Source organism: Homo sapiens, chromosome 13 (assembly GCF_000001405.40).
Source record: "Homo sapiens chromosome 13, GRCh38.p14 Primary Assembly".
NCBI classification, from domain to species: domain Eukaryota; kingdom Metazoa; phylum Chordata; class Mammalia; order Primates; family Hominidae; genus Homo; species Homo sapiens.
Window position 1 is genome coordinate 29,800,674 of NC_000013.11, and position 24,104 is coordinate 29,824,777.

Genomic DNA, 24,104 nt, shown 5'->3' on the forward strand with positions numbered 1-24,104 from the left:
AAAATATGGATGGAATAAGTCAAGTCAACCTTTCGGCAGGATAGTTACCTGCCGGTCTGCTAAATCGTTGGAGCAACATTGCCCTAAGTAACAAACACTCAGGCTGGTAGCAGCTCTGAACCTCCCTGGGATGGATCTCCCAGAGGGAGCAGACAGCCATTTTTGCTGCTCAACAGACCTCTTTCCTGTTGCCCTCAGGCTTAGAAGGCAGCTTAGTGGCTGGGGACTGACAGGGACCCCCCCACGGTGCAGCAGCCTTATGGAAAAAGGGCCAGACTGTTTTCCATATGGATTTTCACCTCCGGGTAGGGACAGGGTGCCTCTCAACCTGGACCCCCAGCACATCCACCCTGCCCCTACCCGAACACCAGTGGGTGGCAGCTCTGCATTTCTCTGAGAAAATCCCAGAGACAACCCACAGCCCCTCTGCCATTGCAGATGCAGGGGTACTGCCCTTGCCACCCTCAAGCTGAGGAAGGAACAGAGGGCCTGATGGCAACTCTGGCATGCCACAGCCACCCTATGGAGAGGAGCCCAGTCTCTTTTCTCTGTGAGACCCCACTCCCCACTCTTCAACAGGCACACCCGCTCTCAGAACCACAGAATAGCCATCCTACCCCCAGCTAAGCATTCCCACTGCTAGTAACTCTGTGTTTCCCTGGGGAGGGGCTCCCAGAGGCAACCAATAGCAGCGGTTCTGCCCCTGCTGCTCTTGGACTGGAGAAGAAACGAAGAGCCTGAGAGCTTTATTCACACTTAAAGCATGACAGTCATTGTACAGAGGAGCTCAGCTTCTTCTCATTATGAGCCCTCAACCCCCGCATTTTTCAGCAAGCAGAGCCCCAAGCTTGGGCCAGCAGTGCAGTCTCCCCAATCCTTGGCTGAACATTCCCACTAGCAACGGCTCAGCATTTCTCTGATTTCGCTCTCAGAGACAACTGAAAGCCCCTCTACCACTTCAGTTGTACTGCCCTTGTTGCCCTCGGACCGGGGAAGGAGTGAAGACCCTGAGTGCTTTAACTATACCTTTAGCAAGTCATAGCCACCCTAAGAAGAGGCCAGACTGTCTCCCCGCAAAGTCCTCTTTCCCCATTGCTCAACGTCACCAGGCAGGGTTCCCTGGCTTGAGCCCACTATGCAGCCACCCCACCCCAGGCCGAACACACTGATTGATAGAGGGTCTGCATTTCTCTGGGGTGGAGCCCCAAGAGGCAAGTGAAAGGCCCTCTGCCACAGCCACTGCCAAGGTCCCTTCCCCTGTTGCCTCCAAACTGGGAAGGGAACATGAAGCCTGAGCTCATCCAAGGGCAGCAGTGTGCAGCCTGGGAGTATGAAGGCCAGATTTGCAGCCACCACTTAAGTGGGAGAGGAGCCCACACTTTCAGAGCAGGGAGAGGAAGCACAGCTGCAGTGGTGAGGAAATACAGAGGGGCCACGCAGTGGAGCAACAGCCTACCTACTAGCCATTATGCTTAAGCACCATCTACTGGATCACAGCTTAAACTTCAACACCAAAAATACTTTGCTAATACACCCTGCTGTGAAACCAAGGACAAGAACTCAGTGACAAATAAAGACCCTGCACAAATAAAAGGACAAGGCACAAAGCTTTGGCCTTCTGAAAACATCCAGAAAAGAAGTTAACTGACTGTACTCGAGTTACACCACAGTTAAAGAACATCAGCCCACACAGAGAAGAAAGAACCAGTGCATGAACTTTGGCAACCCAAAATGCCAGCCTGTCTTCTTTCTTCCAAATGACCACGCTAGTTCCCAGCAGGGGTCCTCCAACTGGGGTGAAATCACAGAAATATAATTCAGAATAGAGATACAAATGAAGATCATCAAGGTTCAGGAGAAAGATGAAACCTAATCTAAGGAGTACAATAAAATGATGCAGGAGCTGATAGATGAAGTGGTCATTATAAGAAATGACCAAACTGATCTGATAGAGGTGAAAAACACACTAAAAGAATTTCATAATGCAATTGCAAGTATTAATGGCAGAATAAGCCAAGTTGAGGCAAGAGTCTCAAAGCCTGAGGACTGGTTTGCTGAACTCAGTCAGACAAAAACAACAAAAAAGAGAATAAAAAAGAATGAACGAAACTCCTGAGAAATACAGGGTTATGAAATAAAGAGACTAAATCTATGACTAACTGGCATTCCTGAAAGGGGAAGAAAGTAAGCAACTTGGGAAACATATTTCAGGATATTGTCCATGAAAATTTCCCCAACTTCACTAAAGAGGCCAACATTCAAATTCAGGAAATGCAGAGAATCCCTGAAAGATACTACATAAGAATACCATCCCCAAGACACACAGTCATCAGATTCTCCAAGGTCAAAATGGAATAAAAAATGTTAAAAGCAGCTAGAGAGAAGAGGCAGGTCACTTATACAAATCATTCACTTATACAAATATATTCAGCATTCTATAAGAAAAGAATTTCCAACCAAGAATTTCAAATCCAGCCAAACTAAGTTTAATAAGCAAAGGAGAAATAAATAAGATCCTTTTTAGATAGGCAAATGCTAAGTGAATTTGTCACCACCAGACCTAACTTACCAGAGGTCCTTAAAGGAGTGCTAAATATGGAAAGGAAAGAAGACCATTACTAGCCACTACAGAAACACACAGAAGTACATACTAAAAAAACAAAAGTACACAGACCACTGACACTATAAAAGAATGATGCAAACAAGTCTACATGATAACCAGCTAACAATACAATGACAGGATCAAATCCACACATATCAATATTAACCTTGACTGTAAATGGGTTAAATGCCCCAATTAAAAGGCATAGAGTGGCAGGCCGGATAAAGAAGCAAGATCCATTGGTACGCTGTCTCTAAGAGACTCATCTTACACGCAATGACATCCAGAGGCTCAAAGTAAGGGATGGAGAAAAATCTACCAAGCAAATGGAAAACAGAAAAAAAAAAGGGAGAAGGGGTTTCAATCCTAATTTCAGACAAAACAGACTGTAAACCCACAAAGATCAAAAAACACAAAGATGGACGTTATATAACAGTAAAGGGATCAATTCAACAAGATCTAACTATCCTAAACATATCTGCACCCAACACAGGAGCACTCAGACTGATAAAACAAGTTCTTAAAGACCTACAAAGAGACTTAGATCTCCACACAATAATAGTTTGAGGCTTCAACATCCCACTGACTATATTAAGCAGATAATCAAGGCAGAAAATTAGCAAAGATTTTCAAGACCTGAACTTGATACTTGACCAAAAAAGACCTAACAGACATCTACAGAACTCTTCACCAAAAAACATACATTCTTCAGAATGTATATTCTTCAGAATATACATTCTTCTCATCTGCACATGGCACATACTTTAAAATAGAACACACAATCAGCCATAAGACAATCCTCAGCTAAATAAAAAAAAAAAAACCTGAAATTATACTGCCATACTCTTGGACCATAGCTCATTAAAAATAGAACTTAATACTAAGAAAATCACTCAAAACCATACAATTACAGGTAAATTGAACAACCTACTCCTGAATGACCTTTGGGTAAACAATAAAATTAAGGCAGACATCAAGAAATGCTTTGAAACTAATGAGAACAAAGATATAACATACCAAAATCTCTGGGACACAGCTAAAGATGGAAGTTTATAAAGAGAGAAGTTTATACCACTAAATAACCATATCAAAAAGTCTGAAAGATCTCAAATTAACAACCTAACATTACACCTAGAAGAATTAGAGAAATAAGAGCAAATTAAGCCCAAAACTAGCCGAAGACAAGAAATAGCCAAAATTAGAGCTGAAATGAAGGAAACTGAGATGTGAAAAACCATACAAAAGATCAACAAATCCAGGAGTTGGTTATTTGAAGATTAAATTAGACTACTAGCTAGAAAAAAGGGAGAAGATCCAAATAAGAAATGACAAAGGGAGCATCACCACTGACCCCACAGTAATACAAAAAAAATCCTGGGAGACTACTATTAATACTTCTATGCACACAGTCTAAAAAAACCTAGAACAAATGGATAAACTCCTGGAAACAGAACCTCCAAAGATCGAACCAGGAAGAAACTGAATAACAGAACAGATGTTATTTCCAGGTGATAGCATAATGAGTTATTTCAGATTTCTACTTTAAACTTTTCACATTTTTCCAAATTTCCACAATGAACATGATTTATAGCTATAAACAACAGAGATTACAGAAACAGCTTATAATGCATTCGATCATTCCTACCTTCTAATGATCTGAACATACACAACACATGTGCATGTGGCCTGAAATACACATGCACATATATATACAACTTGGTTACATATAATTCTGTATCTCAGGTAACAGTACTAACTTGAAAGAGCCAGATTATTAAATATCAAAATAGCCATCTGATTCAGAAATTTGGGACCATTTAATTAAGCAAAGCCAATGATTTAAATAAAAAACAACTCTCTAAAGAGACTACTCAATAATTAAGAGGTATTTAAAATATTTGAAATACTAAGATTTATGTAAAACATACACCTATATCAAACTAAGAATGTCTGCCATTTTATCACAATGGATGGATTAAATGGTCTACAGCAGCTTTCCACAGTAATTCTCTCTTGGGAATTCTGTCTGGAAAACAAACTCAATTTTAGAATCTAAATTCTTAAAGTTCCTAGATTTCAGCAGTCCTTGAGGGCAAGGTAGATTCAAAATCACCTAGGGAGCTTTTTCAAATTATATTTCTTGGCCCGGGCCCCCTCTTCCAAGAGTCTGATATGTCTGTCCTCTGGGATGAAAGCATGGGCATCTCCACTTAGAAAACGGCTCTTACACCCCCAATACTACCTTCTCTTTGAGAAACATGACTATATATGCTATCTATCTTTTTAATAAAAAATAGTCTCCTTTAACTTGGGGGGAAAATCACTCCCTAGTACAACTGGTTTGGCTTAATTATAACTTGCCCTCCCATATTTTTAATTGAATGAATGGTTGAAACATCACAACATTCAAGAAGCTGAGATGATAGAACATGATTTCACCTATTCATTATATACATTTTCCATGCAATTATCCAACATTAAGTTATATACAGGCTAGACTTTTAAATAAATTCTTAAAAATTCTACCATTTTCTAAAACTACTAAGGATTTCCAGAAAACTATGGCATTACAAATGCCATTCTAAAATAAAGTGGTATGCATCCAAAGTAGTACCTTGTGGCCGGACATGGTGGCTCATGCCTGTAATCCCAGCACTTTGGAGGCCAAGGTGGGCAGATCACCTGAAGTCAGGAGTTTGAGACCAGCCTGGCCAACACAGTAAAACTCCATTTCTAATTAAAATACAAAAAATTAGCTGGGCATGGTGGCGTGTGCCTGTAGTCCCAGCTGCTTGGGAGGCTGAGGCAGGAGAATAGCTTGAGCCCACGAGGCAGAGGTTGCAGTGAGTCAAGATTGCACCACTGCACTCCAGCCTGGGTGACAGATCAACACGCTGTCTCAAAACCAAAAAACAAAACCAAAAAACCCCACAAAGTAGTATCTTGTATTTCTATATTAGTAAAATTACACACTAGCATCCAATTACATAAAACTGTGCTATAGAGAAAAAACCTTTATTACTCAGCAAGTGAGTAGTTAGCTCTTCTTGTATGGTTATTGATTGACTTACTTTTACATTAGTCTACTTTAGCAAGAAAAATATCCAGAAAATATCTAATGCCGGCCTGGAAAACAAATTTTATCACTCTTGCCAATCATTAATTTACAGGAGCTGCTGAAAATATGCTCCCCTAAGAAGGATCTTAAACCATCTCTAGGTTTAGTGGAAAATGAGTTGTTATTAATCATCCATGTCTGTCATAAGTAAAGGGTAGGGCTGGGGGGCAGGGAGTATGGTGGGTGCAGTGCTGAGGTGCAAGAGTGCCATATATTTACTGACCCCAGTCTAACACCTTCTTAAATTAGACCAAGATCTTTGCTTCATTATAAATACTGAGGCGTTCTTTGGCTTAAATTCAGAAATATTAAAAAGCATTTTCCTCACTCCAAAACTGGCTTCACGTGATCACTGCCTGAAGGGATATTATAATGGCCATGGCTTTGTCATCTCTCCTGACCCAGTGATACACGTGCAAACTCATAATTCACTTTATTGTCTTTTGTGATCTGTAATGCTTTCTTCAGTAGCTTTTGTGTCTATGGTGCAATTTTTAAGTTTTATAATAACCTCTATCTTGTTCTTTCCTACTGTGAGATTGTATTTCCAAACTAATATTTAATATATACCATATTTTATCAATTCAATTATAATTATCAGTTATTCTAATATGTAGTGTACTTCAGAATGATGAAATCACAAAGAAAGAGTAATGATACCAAAAAGGAATTGGTAAGAATATGAATTTGGGCATTTGAATCTGAAAGTTTACCATATTTTCTTTCCTTTTCCACAGAGACCCAACTATTGTTAAAGAGAACCTAGGTACCACAAACTGTATAAAGTTAATATTTGTATAATTCATTTTCTATAATGTCAAGCCCAGTTCTTGCTACTTCTTGTATGGGAAACGAAGGTTAAACTGTAAGTCAGGAACCTTGGACTCTCCTAGTCCTGGCTTTTAAACTAGCTGACTATATAATCTTGGGTAAGTCACTTCACTGCTCAAGGCTCAATTCCCTAGCCCACAAACTGGTGAGCTGCATAAGAATCGAGACTGCCAGTCCAGCTGCCTTACTGCTCCTGAGTTCTGTGATTTAAGTACCTCAGACTTCAATTCTCATTGCCTTTTATCTCTTTGTTTTCTGCTCTCCACCAAATTATTGACTTCAACCACAATTCTACAACCAGTTTTTCCTATTAATTCTATGAATTTTTAGAGCTCCTTTTTATTCAGTAGTTATTATTATCCAAGTAACTGTTTACATTGCTGTTCAATGAAGTATGACTTAATCTAATAACTGTAAGTATAGTATCTAGTGTAGTCTTAATAGCATCACTGTTCAGATCAAATATAGCCCTCAAGGAAGCAATCAGCTATGATTGCTGTTCTGAAAAAATAAAAAAAGGAATTCTGAAAAAGAGAAGGAAAAAGTTGATTCAAGACTTATCTCTAACAGTTAACTGCAAGATTGGCAAGACAGAAACCAAAATATTTACAAAGGCTATCTTTGGGAGGTAACAATATGGATGACTTTTTGCCACTTTTTAATATTTCCTTCATTTTTCAAATTTTAAAAGAATTGTCTATTGCTACTTAATGGTTAAACGTATTACAATAGTCTATTTTATAAATTCTTTGTAGTGGGTAAAAACCACAATGATTAACAAACATGCATTAAAACAGCTTTCATAGTGCTTCTAAGAGAAATCAGGTATATATGAGGAAATTCTCAAAGCCTCTGTTTGCTAAAGGGAAAAATGAACAAAAAGAAGCTGCTTAAGCAGCTTTCATTACAATCTATTCTAGACCATTAAAAATCACCTTCCATTTTCCTTCCAACTCTTAAGATGGGAAAAACTAAATATTTAATATATAGCTAGCAAGTTAATTTTGTATCAAATTTATAAAAAGGTGTCATAGTATTCTTATTTGCTCAGTGTATACTCAATGCATACAGTGCATATATGACCATTTAATAAAGGATGACATGACTACTTTAAATTAATTACAAAATTTCAAAACCCAAGCTCCCACTCCCCCCACCTCACACATATGATTTATGAAGACATTCTAATATGTTACCACTCAACCTTTTGATTTTTCCATTTCACTGTACAGCCTGGGTTTGGTTATCAATCATACTACTTAATAGCTGTGACATCCTAGACATGCCACTTAACTGTCCTGGAAGCTAAGTTTCTTAGTGTTAATACCATTATCACCAACATCTGTTTTGTTTTGTGTAGTTTACAAAATATTTTCATATATATTAATTCTATGGATACCCACACCACCCTCATTGTCTCATTTTGCAAATGACTTACCTCCCAAAGTCACATGCCTAGTAGCAAGACCAATGCTTACACAAAGTTAAATATCCTAACTACTCAGAACACTATTGTAAAGCTCAAATGAGACAATATGTATGTATTTTCTAAGCTCTGTAACTTTCTGTAAAAATATAAAGTAGCATATTATTTTCTATGTTCCCTTCTTATGGAAGTAGTAGTTGCATTCAATGATCTCCCGTTGTGCCCAGGTATAAAAGTGCAAGTTGGAAGAGTTTTTAACTTTTAATTGAAAAAAAATTGGATTAACTAAAGACTATTTATATTTTTAACACAGTATGATCATGCTCAATAGAATATAAATCTTTCTTTTCCTCAAAATAATATAAACATCTCTACAAGGTATTAATCATGCATTCAAAAATTTTGAGCACCTACCCTAGACACCTACTGGGTACACATGATGTAAAACATAGATGGATGTCTGAAAACATGGAACTAACAGTACAGCGATGAAGACAGGTAAACAAGCAAACAAACAAAAGACAACTTGTGGGAAAATGCTATAAAGAAGTAACAGGGTCAACAGGGTCCTAGAATAGGGAACCTGGGGAGAGGGAGCTTGAGAAAGGGATACTTGCACTGAGACCTGAAGAAGGAGTCAGAAATGCAAAGAGTAGGTGGTAGAACAGTTTAGGCAGTGGGAACTTCATGCATAAAAACTCCAAAGCAGAAAAGAAAAAGCCTTGGCACATCTGAGGAAAAAATAAATAAATCAGCACAGAATGGTAACTGAGGAAGACAGCCACCAATAAGGCTGAAGAGCAAGCAAGAGTCAGATCTCACACAGCCTGGGAAGGAATTTAAATATTAAAGTGGACTGTGAAACCATTAAAAAGTTTTCAGCAGTGGAGCATGGTCCAATTTACACTGAAGGTCATCATGGCTGTTGTACGGATAGAGCATTCTTTCCTTAGGAACAGAAGCTGACAGACCCCTTAGAAGACTTTGCAAGAGTTTAGTTGAGATGACAAAAGCCTGGACAGGGATGGAGGCAGTGAAGAAGATATGTTTCCACTAAATATAGAGTCATCTCTAGGCATTAGTGGGGTCTATGTTTCAGGACCCTGCCTTCTGACCCCCGCCCACAGATAACAAAAACCAAGGACGCTCTGGTTCCTGATCTAAAATAACACAGTATTTCCATATAACCTAGCACATCCTCCTATATACTTTAAATCACTCTAAATTACTTTTAATACCTAATACAAATGACTATATATTAATTTATTTGTGTGGATCCAACATAGTGTTCAGACTGCAGAAAATTCAAGTTTTGCTTTTTGAAACTTTGTGAAATTTTTTTTTCCTGGATATTTTCAATTCACAGTTGGTTAATCCACAGACACAGAACCTATGAATATGAAAGGCCCACTGTATATTTTAGGAGTAAAAAATACAACTTGCTGAGGTATGTGATATGAATAATGGAGAAACTGAGGAATTAAGGTTATTCCACATACCTGATTGAGCAACTGGGAGAATGATGATGGTATCAATAGGATCAATCCTAAATTTGTTTTTTAAAAAGTGGAGATGTTAAAAATAACTGGCCACGTGATTAAGGAATTCAGAGGAGATTGTCTGGGCTAGAAATACACATTTGGGGGTCATCAGCATTTAAGTGGTATTTAGCCTGGGAACTGATCCAATTCTAGAAAAGAGAGAGATAGAAGAGAGCACAGACTGAGCTCTGAAGAAGGCTAATATTTAAAAAGCAAATAAAGAGTTGGCCAAAGAAACTGAGAGGGAATAGCTAATGAGACAGTAAGAAAATCATGTATATGGGGTCACAGAAACCAAAAGAAGAAAGTGTTTAAAAGGCCAGATGCTGTACTGTTTTAAGTGCTGCTGAGAGGCCAAGTAAGATGAAGACAAGGCATCTTTTGGATTTGTAAACTGAAGACCAGTGGTGTATAGTACATTTTGTGCAAAGCCTTTGTAAATATTTAATAACTAGTTAATATTCTACTAAGTGAAAATACAGGTATTTTTAGTGTAACAGTGAGTTTTCTACGTGTGAATTAGATATTTTAAATTAAGGAACATGATTTGCCTTATTTGAACTGATGTTGTTTATAATGCAAGCTATGATTGGAAACCAGCACTCTGCTTAGGAAGAAGTAGCTGCGCACACAACAGAAGGATACAAAATGACTTAGTTTGAAAGGCTGGCTACAATGTGGGAATGTGTTCTTTTGCTCACTGTTAAAAATTATGAATTTTGGGCCTTTACAATAAAGACCTGGAAAACGTACTCAACTTTTACTAGCTATGTATAGACCCTTGACATCGTTCAAGTCAATGGTGGTACAGGTTAAAGTACCTGGGGAGGAAGGGTCATTTCTCAAAGCACTGCTAGGGAAAAGCCTTTTGCCCATCCACTTTTTCACCACCCAGAACACAATGTGATCTTTGGAATTATTATACGATAATCTTTGGACCATGGGGAGGAAATCCATAAACTAAGGAAAGCAGAGCAAGTAGACAGGAGGATACTGGTCCCTCGAGGGTACTTCTCAGGCCACTGTACTAGCCCTGGACTGCCACTTTCCAAATTTCTTGTTGCAGAATAATATAAACTCTTTACTTATTTTAATCTACTAAGTGTGATTTTGCAGTTACTAATTGCTAAACTCAATATTAATTGATACATGCCATGTTTGTTTCATTCCTTCCTAAGAGTATTTTAAAATGAAGCAATGTTTAACACAGTTAAGAGGACATTAGAGCTACAGTAAACTCCACTGCAACTAGTACTAGCCATGTGACCTAGTTCTGGACAAAGAGGTGTATGGAAGACTGATGGGGGCTTCTAGGAAATTTAATCCTATGCTGCAAAGAAGAGAGAGCTGCGGAAGGAAACTGGTAGATAGACTGTCCCTGCCATGCCCTCCATGCCATTCCTCACCAGTTGCTCTTCTTGTCTTTCAACTGGTTGTGATACCTAGAGCACACAGCTATCTTGAAAGTACTGAGCAACAAGCACAAGGATAAAAAGGCTACCTCCAATAATGAAAAATACCTGGCTGCTTGATAACATCACTAAGCTGCTAGACTAGCCAGAATGCCTTTTTCCCAATTTCTTGTTATGTGAGATAATTAAATATCTTTAGTGATAAAGTCACTATTAGTTGGGGTTGTTTGGGGTTTTTGTGTTTTTTTGGTTGGTTGTTTTTGCAGCTAAAAGCATTCCTAACTGATACACTCTCTATCTTCTCTCAAATATCCAAGTATCTTCATGCTGCCCTTTAAATAAACAAAATTCAAAATTTTATCCCTTACTCCGGCTCCATCTCACTTCAAAATTTCTTCTCCAATATAGGTTGAACTCGTACTAATGTTCCTCTACTTGAAATGCTCCCCCATCTAAATCTTATCAATTTGTAAAAGGCCTAGCTTAATTCCTGTATCCTTCAAGAAGCCTCTCCAAGCCACACGGTTTAAGTCTTGAAGTCCACAATTCTCTGAATGTATTGACAGTCTTACCATTATTTATTCCCCATGTAAACCTTCCCTTTCAAATCAGCACAGGGTTTAGCCAATTCAAAATTCAATTCTAAGAGTTTTCAGGCTGGGAATGTTGAATATCTGCACTTTGGGCTCTTATTGCTGAACTCTTGTACAAAGCCTACCTGCAAGAACCACTACTCATGGTTATATCACTTTAAGTATATGCAGCTCATTTTCTCTTCTGGATTAATACACTCTTAGCCAAGTGTATAAATCAGAATATATTTGTGGAACTTTCCAAAATACATACTCCAAGGCACCACCCCAGACATACTGAATCATTTCCAAGGTCATATATGTTGAAGGTATCAGGTGATTCTGATGTGTACTCCTAGGTAAGATTTTTCTAACTCTAGATACTCTAGAATTGCACTATTCCATACAGTAGCTACTGGCCATATACAGCTATTGAGCACTTGAAATTAATTTAAATTTAAAAATTGATATATGAGATTCAGTTACCAGAAAACCTTAAGCATGTTTGGAACTTGGATATATGAATTTATTTTTTCAACTGTAAATTTTATGAAATATAGACTATTTCTAATGAAAATCTGACATCTGAATTCAGATGTGCTCTAAGTATAATGCACCTTAGATTCTGAAGACTTAGTATGAAAAAAGGTAAAACACTATCAATAATTTTGTATCAATTAGATGTTGAAATTATAATATTTTGGATATATCAAGTGAAATGTTATTAAAATTAATTTTACCTGTTGTCTTTTAACTTTAATGTGGCTACCAGAAAATTTAAAATTACATATGTTGTGTTCTATTTCTATTGGACAGTGCTATTTTCTAAAGAGTCATTTTTACCCAATTGTGACTAAGAGTTACGTCATTAAAAATACCCATTACATTTACTTGGAGAGAACTAGTCAATGTCTCCTTTATAAGGGCCTATGTAAGACATTTCTCTCAGACTTCAGTGTCAGGAAAAAAATTTCTTTTCCTAAGCAATTGCTATAGTTTTAATTTATGAATACTATGAATCTTATTATCAATCAGATATCTCCCTTTGCCTTGCTGAGAGCCAAATTACAGCCAAACTTCAGTAATTGCATAGAACGTCAGGAAACGCTTCTCCAGCTAGCCCAATCATAGTATTCTTCTTCATTTTCTCTTTGCTCAGAAATTATTTTTCTTCTTGAAAGTCATAAATCTTTTTTTACAATGAAAAAAGTAATTATCTTCAGTAAGAACCAAAGCCTGGGAAATACCAAAACAACTTAAGGCAAAGGCATATTTATTTAAGTAAAATATGAAAAGTTGTAAAGTTGGCTTTATCCTCGAGACTCTGCATTCACAGGTTCAACCAACCACAGATTGAAAATATTTGGAAAACACTGAAAACAATGCAACAATTAAAAATAATGCAAATAAAAAACAATACATAGAACAACATTAAATTGTATTAGTTGTAAGTAATCTAGAGATAATTTAACATACAGGAAAGGACGTGCATAGGTTATATGCAAATACTGCACCATTTTATATCACGGACTTGAAGCATCTGTGGATTTTGGCATTGGGTGATGGTAGGGTCCTGAACAAATCCTTCCCTCATACTGAGAGATGACTGTATTCAATTCCTCAAACTGCTACTTTTTAAATTCACTTTGCATCATTATTTTCAAGAAATAAAGCAACCTTTAAACACCACCACAATATTCTCATATGCTTTGGGGAAGAAGACTCAGAGCCACTTTTGAAATAAAATTAAAATCCTCAGAAGAAAAAGATGTAATTAATGAATATTAGTGACACTGTTCTGGTTATCTAATGAAATAATGTTCAGAGTTACAAAAGAAGGAATGCATGCAAATCACGCTTCTTCAGCTTATTCAAGAGGGTTACTTTCTATTCTGAGTTATTAGGTCTAATCCAAGAAGAAACAGTAGTTTTAGGTCTAATTTAGAATCTTTCTTTTTTTTAAAGAGTATCTAATGTTATTTTGCTGTAGATTTTGTGAAGTTATATTGCACAGCCAATAAGAATAAATACAGGTTGTTTTAATTACTTCAAATATCAAAAATCATACAAGGTCTTTCAGCAGTTACAAATTTTACTCATCAGTCCTTAACTAAAACTGAGCCTGCCTGCTAGCTTACAGACGTTCTCAAGGAAAACAAATTTATATTCTACCAAACAGAAAATCTAGAACAAATTAATGGCAATGACATGAAAACCTATTAAGAGCTTCTACTGTTATCATAAATAATCATTTAATATATAGAGATATATAACAACTATATAATAAAAAATAATAAAAATTTTATTTGGGATGCCAAGCCAAATTTTGTACATGAGTAAAGAGAAAAACTTTAATACTCTTTCAACAAGTCATCAAATAAATATTAACACCCACTCTTTTCCAAGCACTGTAATAGGCCCAAGATGTAAGGGCCTATTATAAAGTTGAATAAGATGCCCATGTGCCATGCTGTCCCAGCACATAAGCTAATGAGATAGACCAGAGTTTTATTAAAGAATGACCTAGGCGGGCTGCTGTCCAGAAATACACCACTGGAATATGATTGGCCATGTGTGGTTGCAGTCAGCAGAAGTTCCAAAACTGAACAATATATTTTTACCAGAATTAATTAAATTTTATTGTGTAATTTTAAATGGCCTTTAGAAAGCTGCCTGGTTCAGAAAAATCATGCAATAAGATCTAAGGGATTAAAACTACCAAACCTTCAGAAATGTTTTGTCTAATTATTTCTAGAAAACTGACCCTGCATTGGCCAGTAGAAAACGAATTAGTAGGTATTTGTTTCTATATAGAAATGTTATAAAATCAGTTTATTCCTCTTCTATTAAATATATGTTGGGCAAATATTTAAGATTATTATTACTGTGTTAGTTCACCAACTATTAGTTCCCATCCCCTATGAATTGTCCTAACTCTGCGCAAAACACAGTAGCAATTGAAATGTCAATCCAGTGTGTACTACAACAGAAATCCTGTGTCACTGGGGCACAAAGAGTGAGCACCAATACAGATTTACAAGGGTCTGAAACAGCATCCCAGAGAATTCTAAAGACTCAGCTGAGATTTCAAATAGAACGAGTTAGATGAGTGGGAAATGGGTGTGTGGGGGGGAGAAATATCTCATATAATAAATCAGCTTCAAACTTCTGAGATCCTCTAGTCTGGATACCAAAAATGATAAATACATACTTTGGGAAATGACCATGAATTACCCACCTACCATAGATCAAAGATATTAAAAGTATTTTATCCAAGTTAGAAATGTGTTAATAACTTCCTGAACAAATAAATTTGTGAGGTCTAGAAGCCAAGGAATATGTATAACCCACAGCTAAACTAAACAAACAAAACCCCATTTTATTGTTGCTCTTCTGAATGCCACTTTATTCCCAAATATGTACTGTCTTTCCAACCCAGAACCATAAAATAAAACTTCAGGCAATGTTACTGACATTTTAGGGAAATTCTCAGTGTGCTTTCTGAATTGCCTAAAAATCTATCTAAAAGTTACCAGATGAGTGGGTTTCCATGTCATTCACAAAGTGATTAAACAAGATGCCAATTCAAATAGAAAAGCACTCAATGAAAGATGTCTGGATAACTTACCTACTGCAATGAAGGAACTGAACTCATACAGGTCTATCTTAGCTTTATCTTTGGGAGCTACCTCAACTTGAGAACAGCTGAATAATCTATACATTTCTGATGTAGGTAAGTTTAACACCTTTCAATATCTATCAAATAACCAGTTTCTGCATGGAGTCATCATAAATATCATTTATCACACAATGATGCTTTTAGGACATATTAGGTAGGTGCTCAGGGCTATTTTCCACTAAACTTCAGAATGCTATGCTACGAATTCTGTTAGCTTTGTAGGATTTTTTTCCCCACTGTCACCAGGATCTGACTAAGAAGAAATAATCTATTTTTAAATAAGACAATATGAATGAAAGTATTTTAACTGAAAAGCAAAAAGCACTCTGTAAACATATTACAATTTTATTATTGAATAATATTAATATTATTACATTACTTTGTCTAGAGTCCCTTCTCCTCAATTAAAGCAATATGGTATTGAAGAAACTGACTAAATTATGGAATATAACCACAGAGTTTAGGGAATTTACTTTTAGAACCAAGTAACAATAAGGAATTTTTACCATATAAGCTGACTGTTTTGACTATCTAAAACAAATCTCTTGCTATGTGCTGAAGTAATCAGTTTTAAACTGTTTACCTAAAATAATAGCAAATGTGTCTAAAATAAAAGTAAATGAGCCAGGTACATTGGCTCATGCCTGTAATCCCAGCACTTTGGGAGGACAAGGTAGGAGGATTGAATAAGCCCAAGAGTTTGAGACCAGCCCGGGCAACATGGTGAGATTTTGTATCTACAAAAAAAAAAATTGTTGGGCATGGTGGCACATGCCTGTGGTCCCAACTACTCAGGAGGCTGAGGTGGGAGGATTGTTTGAGCCCATGAGTTCATGGTTGCAGTAAACTGTGTTTGTGCCACTGTACTCCAGGCTGGGTGACTGAGCAAGACCCTGTCTCAAAAAAAAAAAAAAAAAAAAAAAAAAAAGGAACAATGTTGAACTCTGAAAATCTTCTAGGAGTAAAGTTTATAAATTTGGTTACAAGAATCTGTGTAATATTTTTATTGCTTGGAGACATTTGCTATTTCCTTGTTCTTGGATAAACTCTAGGTAGCAGACTGCTGCTATACCTAACTGCTAGGTAAATTAGGGTTATCTATCACCTCTGGATTCAAGATGTGAGACGCAAAAGTTATCCTGCCTGCATACAACAATCCCCCAAAGACAAAAACCATGGCAGTGCTGCCATGCCGTTTCCTCATTATTCCTGGACATTTTGTACTGAGAACTGTTTGATTCCAAGTTTCAGTGCTAAATACTAAACCACCTCAATCTTTAAAGTCACTTTAGGAGGAAAATACATTACCTTCTTGTCTGCGACATTTTATTTATTCTGGAGTAAATAAATAAAAGCATTTTCTAGTTTAGAATCTGAATGTCATTTGGGGAAGTCTACAGTTACCATAGCTTGGTATGCAACACGCGTAAGATGAAAACATAAACTGTAATAACTAAAGCTAAGTTTTTCTGTTTGTTTTGCCTCTTATCTGATGGATAAATGGGCAGCAGAACCTTCGAATTTTTTAAATGAATTAAGCCATTCAGGTTTGCTCCAATGTTTTAATCACTGCTTAGTCCCTGCTCTACTTGGTAGGGGAGGGGTACAGGGTTATGATGATAAAGCCGGCTGAGGTGATGGAAATAAGAATGGGTCAGGGGAGGAACAGGAAAGAGACCAGAGGCAAAATAGCTGAAATGTATTAGAAAGGAAAGCGTTTCTGGAGGTTTTCTATTTTTTTCAATGTAATCTGTAATCCAACTCTAAAAGCAAAGTAATCATAGATAATTTTTTTAAAATTCCATTTAGCAGAAGATCAATGCTAAAATCCAATTTGTTAAGTGAAATACGTACAAATTCACATGTACATGTGTGCATGCATGTATAAACTTGTGCGTGTGGTAAATCCCTATTCTAATCCCAAACTGGGTCAGCATTCTGACAGATGGGAGAGCAGGGAGCTGGGTAAATGGCAACCAGACATAAACAAGTGCTTTCTCTGTAAGCCAGGAATTCAAAATTAGATTTGATCCAGAGAATGTTTTAAACTTTTGCTTTTATCATTTGAGTTACAGAAAATAACTTATACTAGCCTGAACTGACAGCAAAACTTTATTTTTTAAAATCTGACATAGCTCCTAGTTTAGCAAATTAAGGTGCTTCATTCACAAATTGCATTTAGTCCCCATTTCAAATTCCTGGTATAGAACATATTATATGCAAATGTTCTGTCCTAGAAGCTGCATTACACCAGAATCAGCTCTGCATTTACCCTTAACTGCACCAAGCAGTGAAAAAAGGAAGTTCAGCAGCAAAAGTAGCTAAAAATAAGAAAACAGTCATACTCTAACATTCACATATACTCACAGGCTTTCTAATTCATGATCAAGAAATCTAAATTTAGACTAACTAAGTAAAAAGATACTATCACACACATCCTTTTCAGTCAGGAAGAGAAAGTTAATATGTGCAAAGCCTTCAAAACACAGGAATTCAGAGACACTTAACATCAATTATTTAAACGACTACTAATCTTTTACAGAGCAAAGGAAAAAGAAAACTGTTTAGGTCACTTGATCAGAAGTACACAAATAACTATTTTCTTCCTTTTCCTTCCAATAAAAAAGGAAGATGAAAACTAATAATTTCTCAAATTAAGGCCAATCAATCACCTGACAAATTTTTCTCTGTTTAAGAACTATTTTTAAATGTTAAGGAAGTTTTTCCAGCCTTTCAAAAAAGTGTTTGTTTCCTTATTTTTAAAGTTCTGACTTCACATAATACGCCTATCACAAGTGTGCTTGCACTTCACCTTAGTGGCCAATGTATAACAGCTTGTATATTTTGATAGCAAATTGAGACTTAATTCATTTTAGTTTAAGACTAAAAAACCCAGAACTCTAAGAATACTGTCTCAGACAGAATTTAAAAAGACCTTTCCCATGCGTTCTCCCCTTCACAATGTTCACAAGACAAAAACCACTTTAACACTAATCACATTCTGAAATGTTAATTTTTCAATTGCTAAAAGATAGCAGCATCTTTACATGCTTTATATCTGTGTGTTTGATAATATTAGGTAATTGCTGCTAATTTTTAAGGTGTGATAAGAGTATTATGGTTGTTTTAAAAATAATCACTATATATTACATATCTGGGAATATTTATGAAAGATGTGGAATTTGATTCAAAATAATTTAGAAGGAGCAAGTAGAGCAAGTACAAATACAGATAAAACATTACTGTCTATGAGGTGACAACTGTTGAAGCTGAGATATGGATACATGGAAGTTTTATTATAATATTCTCTCTACTTCTGTATGTTTGAAATTTTTCATGAAAGTTAAAATAAAAGTGCTTAGAAAATCCCACCTAAGTGACTCTCTAAATATAATCTGAGAGAGTTAAACCCCATGTTTAGCTTTGGGACAGAAAAGGAGAACTATGAAGCGTAAAACGAAAGGCAAAGGCCAAGTAAGGTGATTTTGTTGCATTTACCCTTAACCACATCAAGGCTATCCATATCAGAAATCCTGGGATAAAGAAAGATGCTCAGAGTTCAAAAGAAACAGTTACCTGTGAATACAACATTTGGCCAAGTCCATAAACTAAGGAGATTGTTACAATGGTACTTCTACAAAGCTGGAAAAAAATTAACCTACCAATCACAGGACTAGAAGATTTAATACAATAAAGCAGTTATACTTTCTGTAATAGAACCTATATAATTACTGCTTACTTATGATAATGAATTAAAATACTAGGATACTGCAAAGTATGTAGCTTTCTTTTTATGAGCATTTTTCAAAAATAAAATTTCTTCTACCAGAAAAGACATCACTTTTTTTAAAAAAGGTAAAAGTTAGAAGAGAACCATATTTCCAAGTTGGAGAGAAATGATTTAGAAAGAATCCAAGGACCACACCACCGCCCCCACCCCCAAGAATTAATGATAAAGATTCATTAACGTCAAAGGGCTGATTTCAAGACCTGAGACCTCTATCACAGGAGATAATTCAAGGACAATAATCCTTTTTCCCCAATCCCTACCCCCAAAACTTTTCTATAGACAACTGCAAAGATAAAATGTCAACCATTTCAAAAACGTAAAAGGTTCTACAAATAAGCTTTATAGGATGATTTATGGTGTTCCCATAAGCCTAACAATGTTTCTTAACTTATTCCAACATATGGCTTTTTCTTTCTTTTCTGGAAAGAAGCTTCTCTAATGAAGTCCTAATAGTAGTATGCGAGTGACCCTGAAAAGAAAGATGTATCAGAAATTAGAATCCCACTGAGAGGCCCTCAGAGTTCCTTTTTTTTTTTTTTTTTTTTTTTGAGATGGAGTCTTGCTCTGTCACCCAGGCTGGAGAGCTCAGTGGCTCGATCTCGGCTCACTGCAACCTCTGCCTCCCAGGTTCAAGCAATTCTCTTGCCTCAGCCTCCCAAGTATCTGGGACAACAGGCATGTGCCATCATGCCCAGCTAATTTTTGCATTTTTGTAGAGATGGGGTTTCACCACGTTGGCCAGGCTGGTCTTGAACTCCTGACCTCAGGTGATCCGCCTGCCTCGGCCTCCCAAAGTGCTGAGATTACAGGAGTGAGCCACCATGCCTGGCCTGAAGTCCTCAGACTTTTTATAGTAACTCAGAATGAACTCTGAGTTTAGGATACTCCCCAGATTCCTTGCGATCCTGGAGTTTATTTTTCACTCATGGTTCCTATATTTGAAATAGTATTAAACATTTAAAAACTATTATATCAAGCTTTTTTCTCCCTTGAGTTATCATCCACTACATTTCTGTCCTTTCATTCTAATGAATTAACTATAGACATTGCTTAAATCAACATATTAGGTTCTGACCATGAGAAAAACAGTAAACATAACTACATTCTAAAGTTACTGAAGTCAACCCTTCAGCTTATTTGCTATTATTTGTTAAATGACTGTTGTCTTTTTGTTCTATAATCTTACCACATGCATATATAAAATGAACTGCCTTATTTCTAATATATATAGTATTTAATAGCAGAGTATGCCTTCCCAGAATTCTGGGAATAACAGACTGTCACATGATAGGCTCTGGAAACAGAATGCCAGGGTTTGAATCCTGGCTCCACCAGTTACCAGAAAACTGCTTTAAAATCTCCATGTTTCAGCTTCCTTATCTGTAAAATGGGGATAATAATAATACCTACCTAATAGCATTGTAGGGAAATTTTACTGAGTAAACATGTGTGAAGCATAAAACAGTGCCCACCTGGGCACTCAATAGATGCCAGCAACTGGTATTTCACTATTAAAAAATAACACAAAGAAGAAGCTTACTAAGTACCAAAAAAGCTTTGTTAAAAAAAAGACTATGAAATCTGAGCAGTGTTTCAATATATTTATACTTTTTTAACCTATTACTTATAGGTTATATATGTGTTTGATTTATTACACTAAACTCATCACAAAGAAAATACCCTTCTTGTAATATAGCAAAGCTGTGTATACATACCAGGACTAAACTTAAATTTGTCTTTATTTTTTACAGCTGTACTGCGTCATGTCATAGTAATCACAACTCTTGGGTAACTAGTCAAATTGCTCAGGAAGCCAGATGTAATACCTTTTGCAGACATTTATTGGTAAATCTAACTTTAAAACCTCTAAAGTAAGATCGGGCTACTACTGCATTCCAGATACTAAATGTCACTGGAACATGAAGACATTCTCATTTCCAAAAGAACATGCTAACTTCTTTGGTTGAGCTTTCTAACACTTTGTATGTGTATCATTTATTCATTACATACGTACTCCACAGGTAGCAAAGTTTAGTTTTTAGCCAATAAAAATCTTTTATTTGCTTTATATTCTCTAGTACGAGACCATATGAAAATTTTTTACTAATTTTCTGTAAGTTTACTTTTGTCTTGTTCCATTGATTTCGTACAGAAATACAAAATATGAATTATCTGACTGCACATAAATCCCCAAAACAGAATCATCAACACAGTGGCTCTCAAGGAACATAGATGAAATTAAAAACAATTTTATGAGTAATTGCTAGGTGATTACAACTAGTCCTAAAGCTCTTTGTTAAATTAAATTACCTGAATTAGAAGATCCAGAAACTTGCTCTCATTCAGTACTTTTGAGAAAGTGTTGATGTTCTTAATTCTGATATAATTAACAATACCACCACTGGAATATGCTGCCTTGGTTGAATATATATGGTAGGGAAACTATCTTATAAATTAGCAGACATTGAACTCAATGAACTTTATGCAAATGTGATTTCTGAAAAGATAAATGTATGTGTAAATTTTGTAATCACACATTTAGAGATTTGTTTTTACTTCATTTACTTTTAGCTGGTGAAAGGGGGAGTAAGTAAAATATAATTGAAATCTAAAGATTCTTTTCAAAGGTGTTGTATACTACAGAGATGTATACACATACCATATATGTATTTACAAACCTAGCAATAGGATAAAGTACTGACTGGAGGAGGGAACAGTTAAAAACAAAACAGTCCTTTTGTGAGATCTCAAAGATTTTAAAATAAGCATCCCACAAATCTCAAATATAAACTCAAACCTCTGCTCCTTTTGATTCTACTGAAATAGTCTAGTTTAGGAGAGTTCTAATTTGCTTCTATCTTAGTGAAATTACAGGATTAAAATTAGAAAAGTGTTTCTAGTCACTGGCACAACCATATTACTCCATAGAATCACCTGAGGTGGAGTGCAGTGGCGTAATCACAGCTCACTGCAGTCTCAAACTACTGGGCTCAAGTGATCATCCCATCTCAGACTCACCAGTAGCTGGGATTACAGGCACGAACCACCACACCTGGCCAAAGACTGCATTTTAAAAAGGAAATACGGTACAGCTATGATGTGTTAAAAAGAAGCCTGTACTATCCTGTGAAAAACTCAAAGAACTAAAGGTTTTCTTTTGAGTGAGTGTAAATTGCCTACACAAAAGGGCACACAAAAGGGCACATAATTAAATTTGATCTTTAAGATCTCCCCAAATTAGAACATTTCAAAATGAATTATCAACTGTATACACACACACAAACACAAACACACACATCACATCACACATAAAAAATGTGGAGCGTAGAGAGAAAAAACATGAATAGTATTCATATGTAAGAAGAAGAATTTTATAAATGGTATTATTTTCCTTAAAATGTTTTCTATTTTACAAGTTTTACAATAATCTTATTGCTTTTCTAATTAATTACAAAATTAGAATGAAAGAATAATAAACCAAATAGTAAATTTAGTTTTGTTTTCTTTTTTTTCTTTGAGAAGGAGTTCGCTCCTGTTGCCCAGGCTGGAGTGCAATGGTGTGATCTCAACTCACTGCAACCTCCATCTCCCGGGTTCAAGCGATTCTCCTGCCTCAGCCTCCCAAGTAGGTGGGGTTACAGGCATGCGCCACCACGCCCGGCTAATTTTGTATTTTTAGAAGAGACGGGTTTCTCCATGTTTGTCAGGCTGGTCTCCAACTCCCGACCTCAGGTGATCCGCCCGCCTTCGGCCTCCCAAACTGCTGGGATTACAGGCGTGAGCCACTGCGCCCGGCTGCAAATTTAGATCTTTAAGTGTAGACAGATAAAAATAAATACAGTATGGCCAAGAAAGGACAAATTGGGACAAGATACATAAACACTTCTCTTTAGGAACCACTGGTCAAGTACATTGAGAAATCACAGAAAGAATAAATGTCATTAATTTTACTATGGAGGATAACTGAGTGGCAACCACATTAACCTAGTTGACACTGCATAATGATAATTACCTTTCCTTCTAAAAGATTCACATCAATTTTAAACTTATAAGAAATTACTCATTTTTCTATTTATTTTTATTATACTTTAAGTTCTAGGGTACATGCGCACAATGTGCAGGTTACACATGTATACATGTGCCATGTTGGTGTGCTGCACCCATTAACTCGTCATTTACATTAGGTGTATCTCCTAATGCTATCCCTCCCCCCTCCCCCCATCCAACCACAGGCCCCAGTGTGTGATGTTCCCCTTCCTGTGTTCAAGTGTTCTCATTGTTCAATTCCCACCTATGAGTGAGAACATGCGGTGTTTGGTTTTCTGTCCTTGCGATAGTTTGCTGAGAATGATGGTTTCCAGCTTCATCCATGTCCCTACAAAGGACATGAACTCATCCTTGTTTATGGCTGCATAGTATTCCATGGTGTATATGTGCCACACTTTCTTAATCCAGACTATCACTGATGGACATATGGGTTGGTTCCAAGTCTTTGCTATTGTGAATAGTGCTGCAATGAACATACATGTGCATGTGTCTTTATAGCAGCATGATTTATAATCCTTTGGGTATATACCCAGTAATGGGATGGCTGGGTCAAATGGTATTTCTAGTTCTAGATCCTTGAGGAATCACCACACTGTCTTCCACAATGGTTCAACTAGTTTTACAGTCCCACCAACACTGTAAAAGTGTTCCTATTTCTCCACATCCTCTCCAGCACCTGTTGTTTCCTGGCTTTTTAATGATCACCATTCTAACTGGTGTGAGATGGTATCTCATTGTGGTTTTGATTTGCATTTCTCTGATGGCCAGTGATGATGAGCATTTCTTCACGTGCCCATTGGCTGCATAAATGTCTTCTTTTGAGAAGTGTCTGTTCATATCCTTCGCCCACTTGTTGCTGGGGTTGTTTTTTTTCTTGTAAATTTGTTTGAGTTCTTTGTAGATTCTGGATATTAGCCTTTTATCAGATGAGTAGATTGCAAAAATTTTCTCCCATTCTGTAGGTTGCCTGTTCACTCTGGTGGTAGTTTCTTTTGCTGTGCAGAAGCTCTTTAGTTTAATTAGATCCCATTTGTGAATTTTGGCTTTTGTTGCCATTGCTTTTGGTGTTTTAGACATGAAGTCCTT

The 24,104-nt window shown here is 36.5% G+C and overlaps 1 protein-coding gene across 2 annotated transcripts in view, besides 2 other annotated features; it reads right to left on the minus strand.

Moving 5' to 3' along the window:
* Window positions 1-24,104, minus strand: part of UBL3 (ubiquitin like 3) — an 86,247-nt gene that overhangs the window by 36,303 nt on the left and 25,840 nt on the right. The window lies entirely within an intron of this gene.
* Window positions 1,345-1,394: a silencer, noted in NCBI's record as "silent region_5223". NCBI's record gives its function as "represses an Ori minimal core promoter by ATAC-STARR-seq in GM12878 lymphoblastoid cells {active_cell/tissue: GM12878}" and the evidence as "EXISTENCE:reporter gene assay evidence [ECO:0000049][PMID:35858748]".
* Window positions 5,567-5,616: an enhancer, noted in NCBI's record as "active region_7523". NCBI's record gives its function as "activates an Ori minimal core promoter by ATAC-STARR-seq in GM12878 lymphoblastoid cells {active_cell/tissue: GM12878}" and the evidence as "EXISTENCE:reporter gene assay evidence [ECO:0000049][PMID:35858748]".